The sequence below is a fragment of the Homo sapiens genome, chromosome 16, assembly GCF_000001405.40.
Source record: "Homo sapiens chromosome 16, GRCh38.p14 Primary Assembly".
Classification (NCBI taxonomy): Eukaryota; Metazoa; Chordata; class Mammalia; order Primates; family Hominidae; genus Homo; species Homo sapiens.
The window spans coordinates 3,161,800-3,175,422 of NC_000016.10; the positions used below are offsets into that span (position 1 = coordinate 3,161,800).

General features: G+C 51.8%; 2 non-coding genes and 1 pseudogene across 2 annotated transcripts, besides 7 other annotated features; 2 read left to right on the forward strand and 1 right to left on the reverse strand.

Annotated features, from left to right (window-relative positions):
* Positions 1–3,138: 3,138 nt before the first annotated feature.
* On the forward strand, positions 3,139–3,211 carry TRK-CTT8-1 (tRNA-Lys (anticodon CTT) 8-1). The gene has a single exon. It is a non-coding gene; the product is annotated as a tRNA-Lys (tRNA).
* Positions 4,129–4,188: an enhancer, noted in NCBI's record as "active region_10307". NCBI's record gives its function as "activates an Ori minimal core promoter by ATAC-STARR-seq in GM12878 lymphoblastoid cells {active_cell/tissue: GM12878}" and the evidence as "EXISTENCE:reporter gene assay evidence [ECO:0000049][PMID:35858748]".
* TRP-TGG4-1 (tRNA-Pro (anticodon TGG) 4-1) lies at positions 9,161–9,231 on the reverse strand (annotated as a pseudogene).
* Positions 9,635–9,784: an enhancer, noted in NCBI's record as "active region_10308". NCBI's record gives its function as "activates an Ori minimal core promoter by ATAC-STARR-seq in GM12878 lymphoblastoid cells {active_cell/tissue: GM12878}" and the evidence as "EXISTENCE:reporter gene assay evidence [ECO:0000049][PMID:35858748]".
* Positions 9,635–10,421: a biological region, named in NCBI's record as "H3K4me1 hESC enhancer GRCh37_chr16:3221481-3222221".
* Positions 9,681–10,421: an enhancer, noted in NCBI's record as "H3K4me1 hESC enhancer chr16:3221481-3222221 (GRCh37/hg19 assembly coordinates)". NCBI's record gives its function as "activates a minimal SCP1, AML or CMV promoter by ChIP-STARR-seq in naive H9 embryonic stem cells {active_cell/tissue: H9 hESC(naive)}" and the evidence as "EXISTENCE:reporter gene assay evidence [ECO:0000049][PMID:30033119]".
* Positions 10,095–10,164: an enhancer, noted in NCBI's record as "active region_10309". NCBI's record gives its function as "activates an Ori minimal core promoter by ATAC-STARR-seq in GM12878 lymphoblastoid cells {active_cell/tissue: GM12878}" and the evidence as "EXISTENCE:reporter gene assay evidence [ECO:0000049][PMID:35858748]".
* Positions 10,185–10,234: an enhancer, noted in NCBI's record as "active region_10310". NCBI's record gives its function as "activates an Ori minimal core promoter by ATAC-STARR-seq in GM12878 lymphoblastoid cells {active_cell/tissue: GM12878}" and the evidence as "EXISTENCE:reporter gene assay evidence [ECO:0000049][PMID:35858748]".
* Positions 10,249–10,320, forward strand: TRP-CGG1-2 (tRNA-Pro (anticodon CGG) 1-2). Its single transcript has one exon. It is a non-coding gene; the product is annotated as a tRNA-Pro (tRNA).
* Positions 10,422–11,161: an enhancer, noted in NCBI's record as "H3K4me1 hESC enhancer chr16:3222222-3222961 (GRCh37/hg19 assembly coordinates)". NCBI's record gives its function as "activates a minimal SCP1, AML or CMV promoter by ChIP-STARR-seq in naive H9 embryonic stem cells {active_cell/tissue: H9 hESC(naive)}" and the evidence as "EXISTENCE:reporter gene assay evidence [ECO:0000049][PMID:30033119]".

Sequence of the window (13,623 nt, forward strand, 5' to 3'; positions counted from 1 at the left end):
GAGTTCAAGCCCAGCCTGGACAACGTAGTGAAACCCCACCTCTGCAAAACAATTTTAAAAGTTAGCAGGGCGTGGTGGTGCGCGCCTGTGATCCAAGCTACTCCTGTGTCTGAGGCAGGAGGATCGCTTGAGCCTGTCTCAAATAAACAAAGGGCGGGGCGCGGTGGCTCACTCCTGTAATCCTAGCACTTTGGGAGGCCGAGGCGGGTGGATCACTTGAGGTCAGGAGTTCGAGACCAGCCTGGCCAAGATGGTGAAACCCCATTTCTACTAAAAATACAAAAATTAGCCAGGCGCGGTGGCGGGCGCCTGTAATCCCAGCTACTCGGGAGGCTGAGGCAGGAGAATCGCTTGAACCCGGGAGGTGCCCCTGGCGACAGGGCAAGACTCTGTCTCAAAAGCAAACAAACAAATAAAAAACAGAAACGTACATGGGAATGGGGGAGGTTGTGTGCCTGTGGGGGCAGAGGAAAATTTGCAACTCTGCACTTCCCACCCAATTTTTCTGAGAACCTAAAACTGCTCTTAAGCTGTTTTTGTGTGTGTGTGGTTTTTTTTTTTGTTTTTTTGTTTGTTTGTTTTTTCTGAGATGGAGTCTGGCTCTGTCGCCCAGGCTGGAGTGCAGAGGCGAGATCTCGGATCACTGCAACCTCTGCCTCCTGGGTTCAAGCAATTCTCTACCTCAGCTTCCTGAGTAGCTGGGATTACAGGCGCCTGCCACCATGCCCAGCTATTTTTTTTCTTTTTTTTTTTTTTTTTGTATTTTTAGTAGAGACGGGGTTTCACCATCTTGGCCAGGCTGGTCTTGAACTCCTGACCTCGTGATCCACCTGCCTTGTCCTCCTAAAGTGCTGGGATTACAGGTGTGAGCCACTGTATCTGGCCTGCTTTCGTTTGTAAAGGCCATATTTTTCTTCTCTTGGGTCTCCAATAACTGTGATGTTAGATCTTTTGTTAAAGTCCCACAAACACCCGAGGTTCTGTTATTTTTTTTAAGTTTATTGTCTCTCCAGGTAATTTCTATTGTTCTGTCTTCAAATTTGAGGAGTCTCCTCTTTTCTTCCATTCTGCTGTTGCCCATTCATTAAAGCTCCTTCCTTTGGTTTTGTATTTCTAGGGTGTAAACTTTCCGTTTAGTTATTCTTTATATTTTCTACTCCTTTCCTGAGACTTCATATTTTTTCATTTGCATGAAGCAGGAGTTTTAGCTGAAGCATGTTTATGGTGGCTGGTTCACCACCTTTGTCATCCCGTCAGATAGTCCAACCCCGGTATCAGTGTCCGTTGTCCGTTGATTGACATTGTTTTGTTGTTGTTGTTGTTGTTGTTTTGTTTTTTTTTTGAGACGGAGTTGCCCAGGCTGGAGTGCAGTGGTGCCATCTCGGCTCACTACAACCTCCGCCTCTGGGGTTCAAGTGATTCTCCTGCCTCAGCCTCCCGAGTAGCTGGGATTACAGGCGGGTGCCACCACGCCTGGCTAATTTTTTGTATTTTTAGTAGAGACGGAGTTTCATCATGTTGGCCAGGCTGGTCTCCAGCTCCTCACCTCAGGTGATCCACCCGCCTCAGCCTCCCAAAGTGCTGGGATTACAGGCGTGAGCCCCCGCGCCTGCGCGCCCGGCCTGATTGACATTTTCAAGCTGGGATTTTCCAGGCTTTGAGAATGACCAGGTCTGCGATGACACTCCCTGGCTGGGAGCAGGAGGGACTCCTGAGACTGCTCCCCTTGTGGACAAAGAGGAAGTTGGGCCGATGGCCGATGACGGCCAGGCCGCGAGGCTGCTGCTGGGCCCTGGGTCACAGGTCGAGGTGTCAGGCCTCTGAGCCTAAAGCTCAACCATTATAACCCCTGTGACCTGCACATATACGTGCAGATGGCCTGCAGGAGCCAAGAAGTCTGAAGAAGCCAAAAAAACCACAAAGAAGTATAACAGCCGGTTCCTGCCTTAAGTGATTAACCAACATTACAACATTCTACCACTGTGACTTGTCCCTGCCCTACCTTGGCTGATCAATCGACTTTGTGACATTCTTCTTTTGGACAATAAATCTTATGACCTCCCTACCACATACCTTGTGACCCCCTCCTCTGCTAACAATAGATAACCACCTTTTACTGTAATTTTCCATTACCTACCCAACTCCTACAAAGCAACCCCTTCCCCATCTCCCTTCGCTGACTCCTTTTTCGGACTCAGTCCGCCTGCACCCAGGTGATTAAAAAAGTTTTACTGCTTACACAAAGCCTGTTTGGTGGTCTCTTCTCACAGATGTGCTTGACAGAGGCCGCCCTGCAGTTCCTGTTCCGATCTAAGGAAGGGAAGGGGAGGCGAGGAAGAACTGGGTCCCAAGACAAGAGGGTCCATTTCGTGAGGCACACACTCAGGACAGACCCTACCCCGCTGCTCTACTCTTTCGCTTCAGTCCCTCCTTCCCGGCCTCCGCTGGCCCCCTGACCCCGCACTGATCATTAATGCAGAAGCAGCGCAGACCAGCAGCCGGGATCGCCGGTAATCCCAGCACTTTGGGAGGCGGAGGCGGGCGGATCACCGGAGGTCGGCAGTTCTGAGGTCGGCAGTTCGAGACCAGCCTGACCAACATGGAGAAACCTCTGTCATGAGCCGCTTGCCTCCACCGTGCATGCAGATCTGCAGGGGAGTGGGAAGAGGCAGGTTCTTTGGGTCATTTGAAACGGTTTGGAGATATGCAGAGGCTGGGCTCAATATTAAGTAGGAATTGGGATTTATATTGGCAGCGAAGCGTGGACCCAGGCCCCTTCGGATCCGCACTTGGGCCCCAGAGAGAGGTTGTTCCTTTCCTCCCCGCCTCCCACTCAGGACCACCCATGGCTAATGGTCCCTGACTACAAATTCCACCTGACTGGAGGCTCGGGTTTGAGGTTACACAACTCGCTGAGAAGGGGAGGATAGGGGCTCCCAGATGTCCGGAGACCCCGGCAGGGACTGTGCACCCAGCTGTCTGAATGCCAGAGGCCGGCTCCGCGGGTAGCCATCCCTGCACCACCTCCTCGGGACTAGAGTCACCACAGCCTTTGTTTTTTTGTTTTTGTTTTTGTTTTTGCAGCGCCTGTTTTGAGGATTCTGAGTATTAGGGTGGGAAGCAAGTATTATTACATCAGCCTGGCTAGCTCAGTCGGCAAAGCATGAGACTCTTAATCTCAGGGTCGTGGGCTCGAGCTCCATGTTGGGCGGAGCTTTTACCATTCTTGGTACACAGAATTCAGCATCATCGCAGGTGACCCAGTTTCCGAAGCTTGGCCCCTAACTGGAAGGTAAAGTTTCACTGAGTCCCAACTCAATCTGTGTCCCCATCAGAGGTTTCAAGGCCTCCTCCCAAATTCATCAATCTGACCACTGGACTGCTGTGTTATCTCTCACAGCCGGTGTCCGAGAACCAGAGTCTCTTAGGGAAAAGGAATAGGAGATTTGCACCCCAGGAAGTTCTGTCTGCTCACCCTAGGCTGGGGTAGAGAACCTGGATCCCTTTACGTTAGCACAAGACCCAAAGTTTCCTTCCCTCCCCCAGGAGACTCAGTCCCAGGGCTGGAGGTGGATGTGCTGCTTCCAAGTTCAGCCAAGGGAGAAGGGCCCTCCCACCCAGTTCAGCTGAGACTGTGGGTCAATGTAGGGGCCAGCCCTACAGGGTCTGTGGGGTTTTCTCCCCATGTATGTAGATGAGAGACCATAGAAATAAAGACACAAGACAAAGAGATAAAAGAAAAGACAGTTGGGCCCCGGGGGGACCACCACCACCAAGACGCGGAGACCGGTAGTGGCCCCGAATGCCAGGCTGCCCTGTTATTTATTGGATACAAGGCAAGGGGGCAGGGTAAGGAGTGTGAGCCATCTCCAGTGATAGGTGAGGTCACGTGGGTCACATGTCCACTGGACGGGGCCCTTCCCTGTATGGCACCCGAGGAGGAGAGAGAGAGAGGAAAGACAGCTTACGCCATTATTTCTGCATTTTAGAGGCTTTTAATACTTTCACTAATTCTGCTACTGCTATCTAGAAGGCAGAGCCAGGTGTACAGGATGGAACATGAAAGTGGACCAGGAGCGTGACTGCTGAAGCACAGCATCACAGGGAGACGGTTAGGCCTCCAGACCTGACTAATGTCAGGCCCTCCACAGGAGATGGTGGAGTAGAGTCTTCTCTCTAAACTCCCCCGGGGAAAGGGAGACTCCCTTTCCCGGTCTGCTAAATAGCGGGTGCTTTTCCTTGGCACTGACGCTATCACTAGACCACGGTCTGCTTGGTAACTTCCGTCTTCCCAGACGCTGGCGTTACCGCTAGACCAAGGAGCCCTCTGGTGGCCCTGTCTGGGCATAACAGAAGGCTCACGCTTGTCTTCTGGTCACTTCTCACCATGTTCCTCCAGCTCCTATCTCTGTATGGCCTGGTTTTTCATAGGTTATGATTGTAGAGCGAGGATTATTATAATATTGGAATAAAGAGTAATTACTACAAACTAATGATTAATCATACTTATATATAGTCATATCTATGATCTATATCTAGTATAACTCTTGTTATTTTATATATTTTATTATACTGGAACAGCTCGTGCCCTCGGTCTCTTGCCTCGGCACCTGGGTGGCTTGCCGCCCACTGGTCAACATGGAGAGACCACCTCCCACCTGCTCCACAATCCCCCGGCTAACTCAGGCTCTTGGGAGAGACACCAGGGCCCCAGAAACCAGTATGACCCAGCCATTACTTATCTCTCTCAGTGTTTGGATGGTGGCCCTTGTTATTAGGAGACCAGGAGTGCAGCCACCCAGTCCCTCCAAAACATGCCTAACAGGTTTTTTGGAGGCGAAGGCAACCCTGTGTAGGATGTTAATCCACCATAAAGATTTCTCATTAATCCCACTTCTGGGACAGCCTCTAAGTATTCCAGTTCATCTATTGTTTCTTGTGTAAGACTAACCATAAATTCTGCCCTTAGGTCAAAACAACCTTGCTGCTATTGCATTTACCATAAATCTTGCCCTTAAGCAAGTGCCTTAAACATTCCTTGTGAAGCACATACACCCTTTCCCTGTGGTATGTAGACCCTGGGTCTGGGCGGTAAAGGCATGGAGACCCACTATCTTGTCTCCCTGCCACGAGAGACCCAGAAGTGGATTCTGTTCATAAGTCCCTAATAAATGTTTCTTTCCTAAGAAAGATGATTTGTCAGTGTTTTTCTTCAGCCTGGCACCTTCCTTGGACTCTGGGTGTAGGTTTGCATTATGGTTGTAACCAGCCAAGGTGTGTCTTTGGAATGGGAGTCAAACCTTGATCTCTGGGCTTTAGAGTGGCTTTGGACACATTTCCCAGTGGGGGTGCTGAGGCAGTCTGGGGGCCCTGAGGAAGGCAGATCAGAGGCTGGGACAAAAGGCTACAGGCACCTCACCAGCGCAGGTCCCAATAATGCAGCACCATCGCCTCAGCCTCTGGTCAGAGTTCGAATCCCACCTCGAGGATGTTGGCTCTTGGGGCCTTATAACCATGACCTTGTGTCACAGCGATACATGGGGAATGGGGTTGGGGTCACTTGTATCCTTGGCCTGTGAGGGTTGCAGAGCCAGGGGTGGATTGCGGACTGGTGCCCACTCTTCTGTCCGAAGCTATCAATCCTGGACATTTTTCAGGGAGGGGATAGGGCTATCCTGTGATTGTCATTGAGTCTTTTTAGAAAGATTGGAGCTATCAGGCCGGGCGTGGTAGCTCACGCCTGTAATCCCAGCACTTTGGGAGGCCGAGGCGGGCGGATCACGAGGTCAGGAGATCAAGACCATCCTGGCTAACACGGGGAAACCCCGTCTCTACTAAAAATACAAAAAATTAGCCGGGCGTGGCGGCGTGCGCCTGTAGTCCCAGCTGCTGGGGAGGCTGAGGCAGGAGAATGGCGTGAACCCAGGAGGCGGAGCTTGCAGTGAGCTGAGATCACACCACTGCACTCCAGCCTGGGTGACAGAGCAAGACTCCGTCTCAAAAAAATAAAAATAAATAGAAATAAAAAAAAAAAAGAAAGACTGGAGCTATCAAATAAAGGCTGAACTAGGTATATTCCAAGAGTACAAGGTTGGCCTAAATTCAAGAAAATTATCAAAATAATTCATCATATTAACAGAATAAAAAAGAAGCTATGTGGTGATCTTAATGTTTGGAAGGGCGCTTGATGCAATTCACACCTGCATTAATCGTTTGTTTGTTTTAGAGGCAGAATCTTGCTCTGTCACCCAGGCTGGAGTGCAGTGGTGCAATCTCCACTCACTGCAACCTCCACCTGCCGGGTTCAAGCAATTCTCTCTGCCTCAGCCTCTCGAGTAGCTGGAGTAGCTAGGATTACAGGTGCCCACCACACCAGGCTAATTTTTGTATTTTTAGTGGAGTTGGGGTTTCACTATGTTGGCCAGGCTTCTCTCGAACTCCTGACCTCAGGTGAGCCTCGGCCTCCCAAAATGCTGGGATTACAGGCATGGGCCACCGTGACCAGCCAGAATCTTACTTTGTTACCCAGGCTGCAGCATGGTGGTGAGAACACAGCTCACTGCAGCCTCAACCTTCTCAGCTCAAGCAATACTCCCACCTCATGCACCAGCTAATTTTTTTGTGTGTTTTCTGTAGAGATGGGGCCTCACTATGTTGCTTAGGCTGGTCTCAAACTCCTGAGCTCAAGGGATCGTCTTGTGAGACATTGCGTCCAGCCAATTATTTTCCTTCTTTGCTTCAACTCCCATCAGTTACCAGTTCCTGGACTGGAATGCTGTTCTTCCTCCTCTTTCTTGACTGGCCCCGTATTTTCTCTCCTGTCTCAGCTTAAATGTCACTCCTAGACTCATTGTTCCCATGTCAGGAACTCATCTATATATGACAACACCCTTATGACAGCCTGTAATTTTTGAAAGTCTATTCATTTTATTTTATTTTTCCAAGACAGGGTCTTGCTTTGTTGCCCAGGCTGGAGTGCAGTGGTGTGATCGTAGCTAACTGCAGTCTCAGCCTCCTGGACTCAGGAATTCTCCTACCTCAGATTTCCAAGTAGCTGAAACAACAGACTTGTGCCACCACACCCAGCTAATTTTATTTATTTATTTAGATGAAGTCTTATTCTGTCACCTAGGCTGGAATGCAGTGACGTGAACTCAACTCATTGCAACCTCCACCTCCCGGATTCAAGCGATTCTCTTGCCTCAGCCTGCCGAGTAGCTGGGATTACAGGCGTGTGCCACCACGCCAGACTATTTTTTGTATTTTTAGTAGAGACAGGGTTTCACCATGCTGGCCAGGCTGGTCTTTAAGTCCTGACCTCTAGTGATCCACCCGCCTCAGCCTCCCAAAGTCCTGGGGTTACACGCATGAGCCACCGTAGCCGGCCTGATTGATTTATTTAAATTTAGCTACCGGGTCTTTCTATGTTGCCCAGGATGGTCTTGAGCTCCTGGGATCAAGTGATCCTCCCTCCTCGGCCTCCCAAAATGCTGGAATTACAGATGTGCATCATTGGGCCAGCCTATTTACTTTTTATTTTAAAACAATTATAGATTCACAGTAAGTGGTCAAAAAGAAAAAAAAAAGTACAGAAAACTCTTGTGTAGCATTCACCCAGTATCCCCTAAGACTTCCATAACTGTGGCTCAGCATCAATGCCAGAAAATGAACACTGGCTGTTTTTCAAAGGTATTTTTCTTGGTTATTGTCAATCTTCACTTTGAACTGTGTGCTCTTTATTTTGTGCCTACTATTGTGCCCACCAAAAAATTAGATGCATGCTTTAACACACGACGCCTGTGATCTTTGAGAATAAAAAATTTGACTCCATGTAGATAAATCTAGACCTGACTTGTTCTTTTTCATTTTATTTTATTTTATTTTAGTTTATTTGAGACGGAGTCTTGCTCTTGTCGCCCAGCTTGGAGTGCAGTGACGTGATCTCGGCTCACTGCAACCTCCGCCTCCCGGGTTCAAATGATTCTCCTGCCTCAGCTTACCAAATATCTGGGATTGCAGGTGCATGCAGCCAAGCCCAGCTAATTTTCGTATTTTTAGTGGAGACGGAGTTTTACCATGTTGGCTAGGTTGGTCTCATTCCCGACCTCAAATGATCTGCCCGCCTAGGCCTCCCAAAGTGCTGGGATTACAGGCATGAGCCACCCTGCCCAGCTTGACTTGTTCTTTTTTGTTTGTTTGTTTGTTTTTGAGACGAAGTCTTGCTCTGTCACCAGGCTGGAGTGCAGTGGCCCCATCTCAGCTCACTGCAACCACCACCTCCGGATTCAAGCGATTCCCCTGCTTCAGCCTCCCGAGTAGCTGAGACTACAGGCATGCACCACCATGCCTGGCTAATTTTTTGTATTTTTAGTAGAGATGGGGGTTTCACCATGTTGGGCAGGCTGGTCTTGAACTCCTGACCTCGTGATCCGCCCGCCTCGGCCTCCCAAAGTGCTGGGATTACAGGCGTGAGCTACCGCGCCCGGCCGACTTGTTCTTTTTTAAAGAATTAAAATATGGTCTGGGTCTTTTACTTTGGAAGAGGGGTGTTAACTTCAGAACTGTCCTAGGTTCAGTTCAGATCCCCGCGAGGGAAGGGGATTAAAGAGAGAAGGAAGTTGAGCCTCTGAGCCCATTGCGCCCCGGAATCTGGGAGGCGGCGTGACCAGGTGCCCGGGTTCCATCCGCTGGGGCTGGGCAGCCCCCCTGCCCCCGCCCAGTACAGAGGCTCCTGCCGGGGGAGGCGTCCATCGCGTTCGCTTACTTCTCTAGACCAACAAGCGAGGGACGCGGAGACTGAGTTGGCTGCGGCCACCGGGTCCCCGGACACCGTCTTCATTCACTCCCACCCTCAGTCAAGCACCTGTACCCGCAGTCCTTTCCTAAAAGAAGAAAAACGGCCGGTCGCGCGCTGTCCAGAGTACTCAGTCCTGGATCCAGGAGGTGGCTGGCGGTGAGCTGATTTCCGGGTTCTTAAACCCGGGCCCGGGGCCCAAGGCCCCGCCTGGTGGGGTCTCATCCTGCAGTTTGAGAAACCGAAGAAGGTAGGAGAGGGAGGAAGCGCCGGCTTTGCCTGTGAAAGATTCTTTCATTCGCTCCATTCTTGTTCTTGCGCGCTGGATTTACCAGGCTAACAAACAACAGCTGATCACGGCAGGCTGGGCTCCTCTGGGACTCGCACCGGGGCCTCTCGCACCCAAAGCGAGAATCATACCTCTAGACCAACAGGCCTCGGTGGCGGGAAGCACCATCTTTGCTCCTCCACTCCCTCACCCCCCTCCCGCCCCGCGCCTTATCTTTCTGGAACCCAAGACTTCGTATTCTCCGCTCTCCATAAACGTCGATGCCAGCTCTAGGAGCGTGGCCGGGAGCCCACGATCGCGGCAGCGAGAAGCCCAACCAGAGGGGAGGAGGGAGTCCCCGGAGTGGGACAGCGCTCAGGTCTGGGGTGGGGTTGATCTAGGGCAAAATAGGGCGGGCGGCCTGTGGCGATGGGCAGGACCCTCTCGCCCACCACACGCGGAACTCGCTGGATCCTCTCCACATCCAGGCCGCGTCCACTGGCTTTCCAACCTGCTCAGGTCCTTAAAGAAGGATTCAAAAGGTGTTGCGGTATTGGCCCAACAGGATTTGACCCTGAGGCCCACTCTCACCCTAATCATAACCGCAAAACCACAGCGCCTGGAGAGAGAGTGAGAGAGAAACAGAAACGGAGCGAGTGTGTGTCGCTGTGATGCCCTTTGCCGTCGCTGCTCATCCCCAGTGACCTCCTGGAACTTTTTCAGCTCTTGCTGACAGAGGAAGACACGGGGGCAGAGCTAACGTCTGAGTCAGGGCAGAGGCGCTGGGCTCCATCCGAGGGAGGCTATGGGGGCGCCTCTGGGATGGAGCCAACCACCGGCGCAGTCGGATGAAAGGTGGGCTGGCCGCTCAGCCATCCTCCTAGGGCAAGGCCTTGGGTATGAGTCAGCAGCCCCAGGTGTGAGCGCAGACCCGGTAACCCCGGCGCAGGGGAAAATACAGCGGGGAGCCCCAGGCTGCAGGCCTGACCCTGAGCATCCCCTACCAAGCCCAGTGTGGATGGGCTCTGTCTCCAAGGGGCTGGTTCACCAGGGTCTCCCCGCAGCGACCCCAGAATTCTGCCAATCACTTGGGGACGGCGATGAGCTCTATCCACTTCGGAATCAGCCGATTTGTGCCGGATTGGTGGCAGGTGTCTGAAATGTCAGCGGAAATACACGCACGGGAGGCTCGTTGGTCTAGGGGTATGATTCTCGCTTCGGGTGCGAGAGGTCCCGGGTTCAAATCCCGGACGAGCCCTAGAAGTGGTTACTTTTCCCTTGTCATTTTAGAGAATATAGAGCTAGAAAATCGGGGACCGAGCCTGAAGCCTCAACTACCAGTCGCGTTGCTCCGCTTCAGGTCGGTCCAGGTCTGTGCCTCAGCTACAAGGGACAAGGATGCTCCTGAGGCTGGCCTGGTCGGCACTTGCCTCAGCCTCGAGGGAGTCCCGCGCCCTTCTCCTTCCCAACCCCAGACCAGAGAAGCTGTACCCTCTGCAGCCCGGGTCGCTCAGCTCCACATGGGCTCCGGGTATGGTGGAGGCCGGTGGTTGGGTTCTGAGTGATCGAGTAGTGTGCACGGTCTGGGCGGGCCCTGGAGAGCTACTCGTTCCTCGACCTCCCCTCCCCGCCCTAGAAACCCACATCTCTGCAGGCCAAGGCGGAGTCACAGATGAAGCTCGTTGAGAGCAGGTCAAAGCTGCCTGACCCGATGGCCCCCTGCTGCGCTAGCCAGGAAGGTGCCCAGGAGCCACATATGGCTCTTAAACACTTGAAATATGGCTGGTCCCCTTGAGATGTGCTGCTGTGAGTACAAAATACACATCGGGATTTTGAAGACTTCGTACCAAAAAAATAAGATATCTCATTCTCTCATTACACATGGAAATTAGATTTCGTGTCTACAGTATTGAATAATATACACACATATGAAAAACATATGTTTTATATCTAAACATATATATTTTATATGTGTTTATATATTATATGTAGTATATATGTATCATATAATTATATTAATAATATGATTATATCATAATAATATAATTGTATTATATAATTATACTTTTCTTTGAGAAGGTGTCGCTCTGTTGCCAGGCTGGAGTGCATTGGCACCATCTCGGCTCACTGCAACCTGTGCCTCCAGGGTTCAAGAGATTCTCTTTCCTCAGCTTCTGAGTAGCTGGGAGTATAGGTGGGTGCCACCACGCCTGGCTAAATTTTTTTTTTTTGAGACGGACTCTCACTGTGTCTCCCAGGCTGGAGTGCAGCAGTGCGATCTTGGTTGGCTCACTGTAACCTCCGCCTCCTGGGTTCAAGTGATTCTCCTGCCTCAGCCTCCTGAGTAGCCGGGATTACAGGCGCCCGCCACCACACCTGGCTAATGTTTTGTACTTTTAGCAGAGACAGGGTTTCACCACATTGACCAGGCTGGTCTCAAACTTCTGACCTCGTGATCTGCCCACCTCGGCCTCCCAAAGTGCTGGGATTACAGGCGTGAGCCACCGCGCCCAGCTATTTTATTATTATTATTATTATTTGAGACAGAGTCCCTGTCACCCAGGCTGGAGTGCAATGGTGTGATCTTGGCTCACTGAAACCTCTGCCTCCCGGGTTCAAGTGATTCACGTGCCTCAGGCTCCCGAGTAGCTGGGACTACAGGGACTCAACAGCACTCCCGGCTAATTTTTTGTATTTTTAGTAGAGACAGGGTTTCACCATGTTGGCCAGGCTGGTCTCGAACTTCTGACCTCAGGTGATCCGCCAGCCTCGGCCTCCCAAAGTGCTGGGATTACACGTATGAGCCGCTGCTCCCGGCCTCGGACAGTTCTTTTAGGGGTAGAGGGAAAGATGACAGGACCAGGCTCCCCATCCCTCATCTGCACCCCACAAACATGGACCCACAAAATTGAGGCTCTCAAAGGCCCCAGCTTACACATCTGTAATGTGAGGATAATGGCAATTAAAAGATTAATTCGAGTATTAAAATTTCTTCATGTTTTGGTAAAGCATGTAGAACAGTGCTTGAAGACTTCCACATTAACTCTTGGCTGCCCAGCCTATACATTTCAGACTTGCCCGATCACATGTGCCAATTCATTTAAATAAATCTAGTAAAAATAGCAACACATCCATGCACGTGTACACATAAGCGTCATCCGTCTCAAGTATCTCTTCTAATGGTTTTGTTTCTTCTTTCCAGAGCCTAGCTGATACAGCAAATCCTCCAGGTGTTTGGTATGGTGATTCACCAGCCCAAGAAGAAGTAAAAAAACGGAAAGCCCAGGTCGAAGCCCCAGTGCTGGGGCTGAACGTGAGGGGTCACCCCATACACACTCCCCTCTCGCTGCTGGAAAAACCTGCTGAGGTTAGAGCTGCCCTCAGCCCCTCCCACTTTTTCTTTTCTTTTTTAAACTGCTCGTTTCCTGTCCGGATAGCCTTCCTCCGGGCGGCAAGGCCCGACCACCACGGCAGCATAACAGCCTGCCCCAGTCTGGCTAGCTAGGTGGGTCGAGATGAGACTCCACTCCCCCCACCCCTTACTCTCAGGCATGTGACTTGAGCCCTCTCAGGCATCTCCCTTAAACCTTGGACGTAGGGTTTGAGGGGCGCCCCCTCCTGGCTGAACTCTGGGGTCCTGGAAGAAATAGGACCTCAGCGTGGAGTGAGAACAGAAGAGCCAGGAAAAACAGAGTCCACGGAGCGCCTGAAGCCGCCGCCCGCACAGCCCTGCCAAGGAGGAGACTCGAACCTGGGGAGATGCAAGTGCTGAGGGCTCAGGGGGGGATTCTTTTTTTTTTTTTTAATTTTTATTTTTTCTGAGACAGGGTCTTGCCCTGTTGCCGAAGCTGGAGTGCGATGGTGCAATCATAGCTCACTGCAGCCTCAGCTTCCCGAGTAACTGGGACTCCAGGCGCGCGCCACCACGCCCGTCTAATGTTTAAATTTTTATTTTTTGTAGAGACGGGTGTCTCGCTATATTGCCCAGGCTGGTCCCCAACCCCTGGGCTCAAGCGATCCTACCCCCTCGGCCTTCCAAAGTACTGGGATCACAGGCGTGAGCCACCGAACCTGGCTAGGGAATTCTTCTTCAGCCGAACAGCAGCGGCAAAGGCTAAGGGTCCTAGAAAGGAACGGGAAACCGTCACCTGCCCAGGTGGGACGCGAGGCAAGGAACCCAGCGCAGGAGGCCGCTGGGTCACGGAGGTTTCCTGTCTGCTTCCCGCCGTCACTGCCGGCCGCCTCCCACCTTCTCCCGGCCCCCTGCAACCCAGCCCACCCCAGCCCACCTCCCCCTGGTGGGGACACGGTTTTCTTTCCGGGGTGCCTCGCAGTTCCTGCAGTCCCTCCCTCTTCCCCACCCCCACCCCCATCCTTTGGGCAGGAGTCACAACAATTTCTTGCTCCAGTTTGGCAGCTGCGGCTCTGTGCCACACCCTCCAACGGGGCTGGATGCCCAGGGTCTGCTGCCTCCATGGGATCTGGCTGGGCTCGAAGTCGGGGCTCAGCAAAGGTATTTCGTGTGAACGAGGAATCCACGGGTCAGACCCGCTTCCACAGC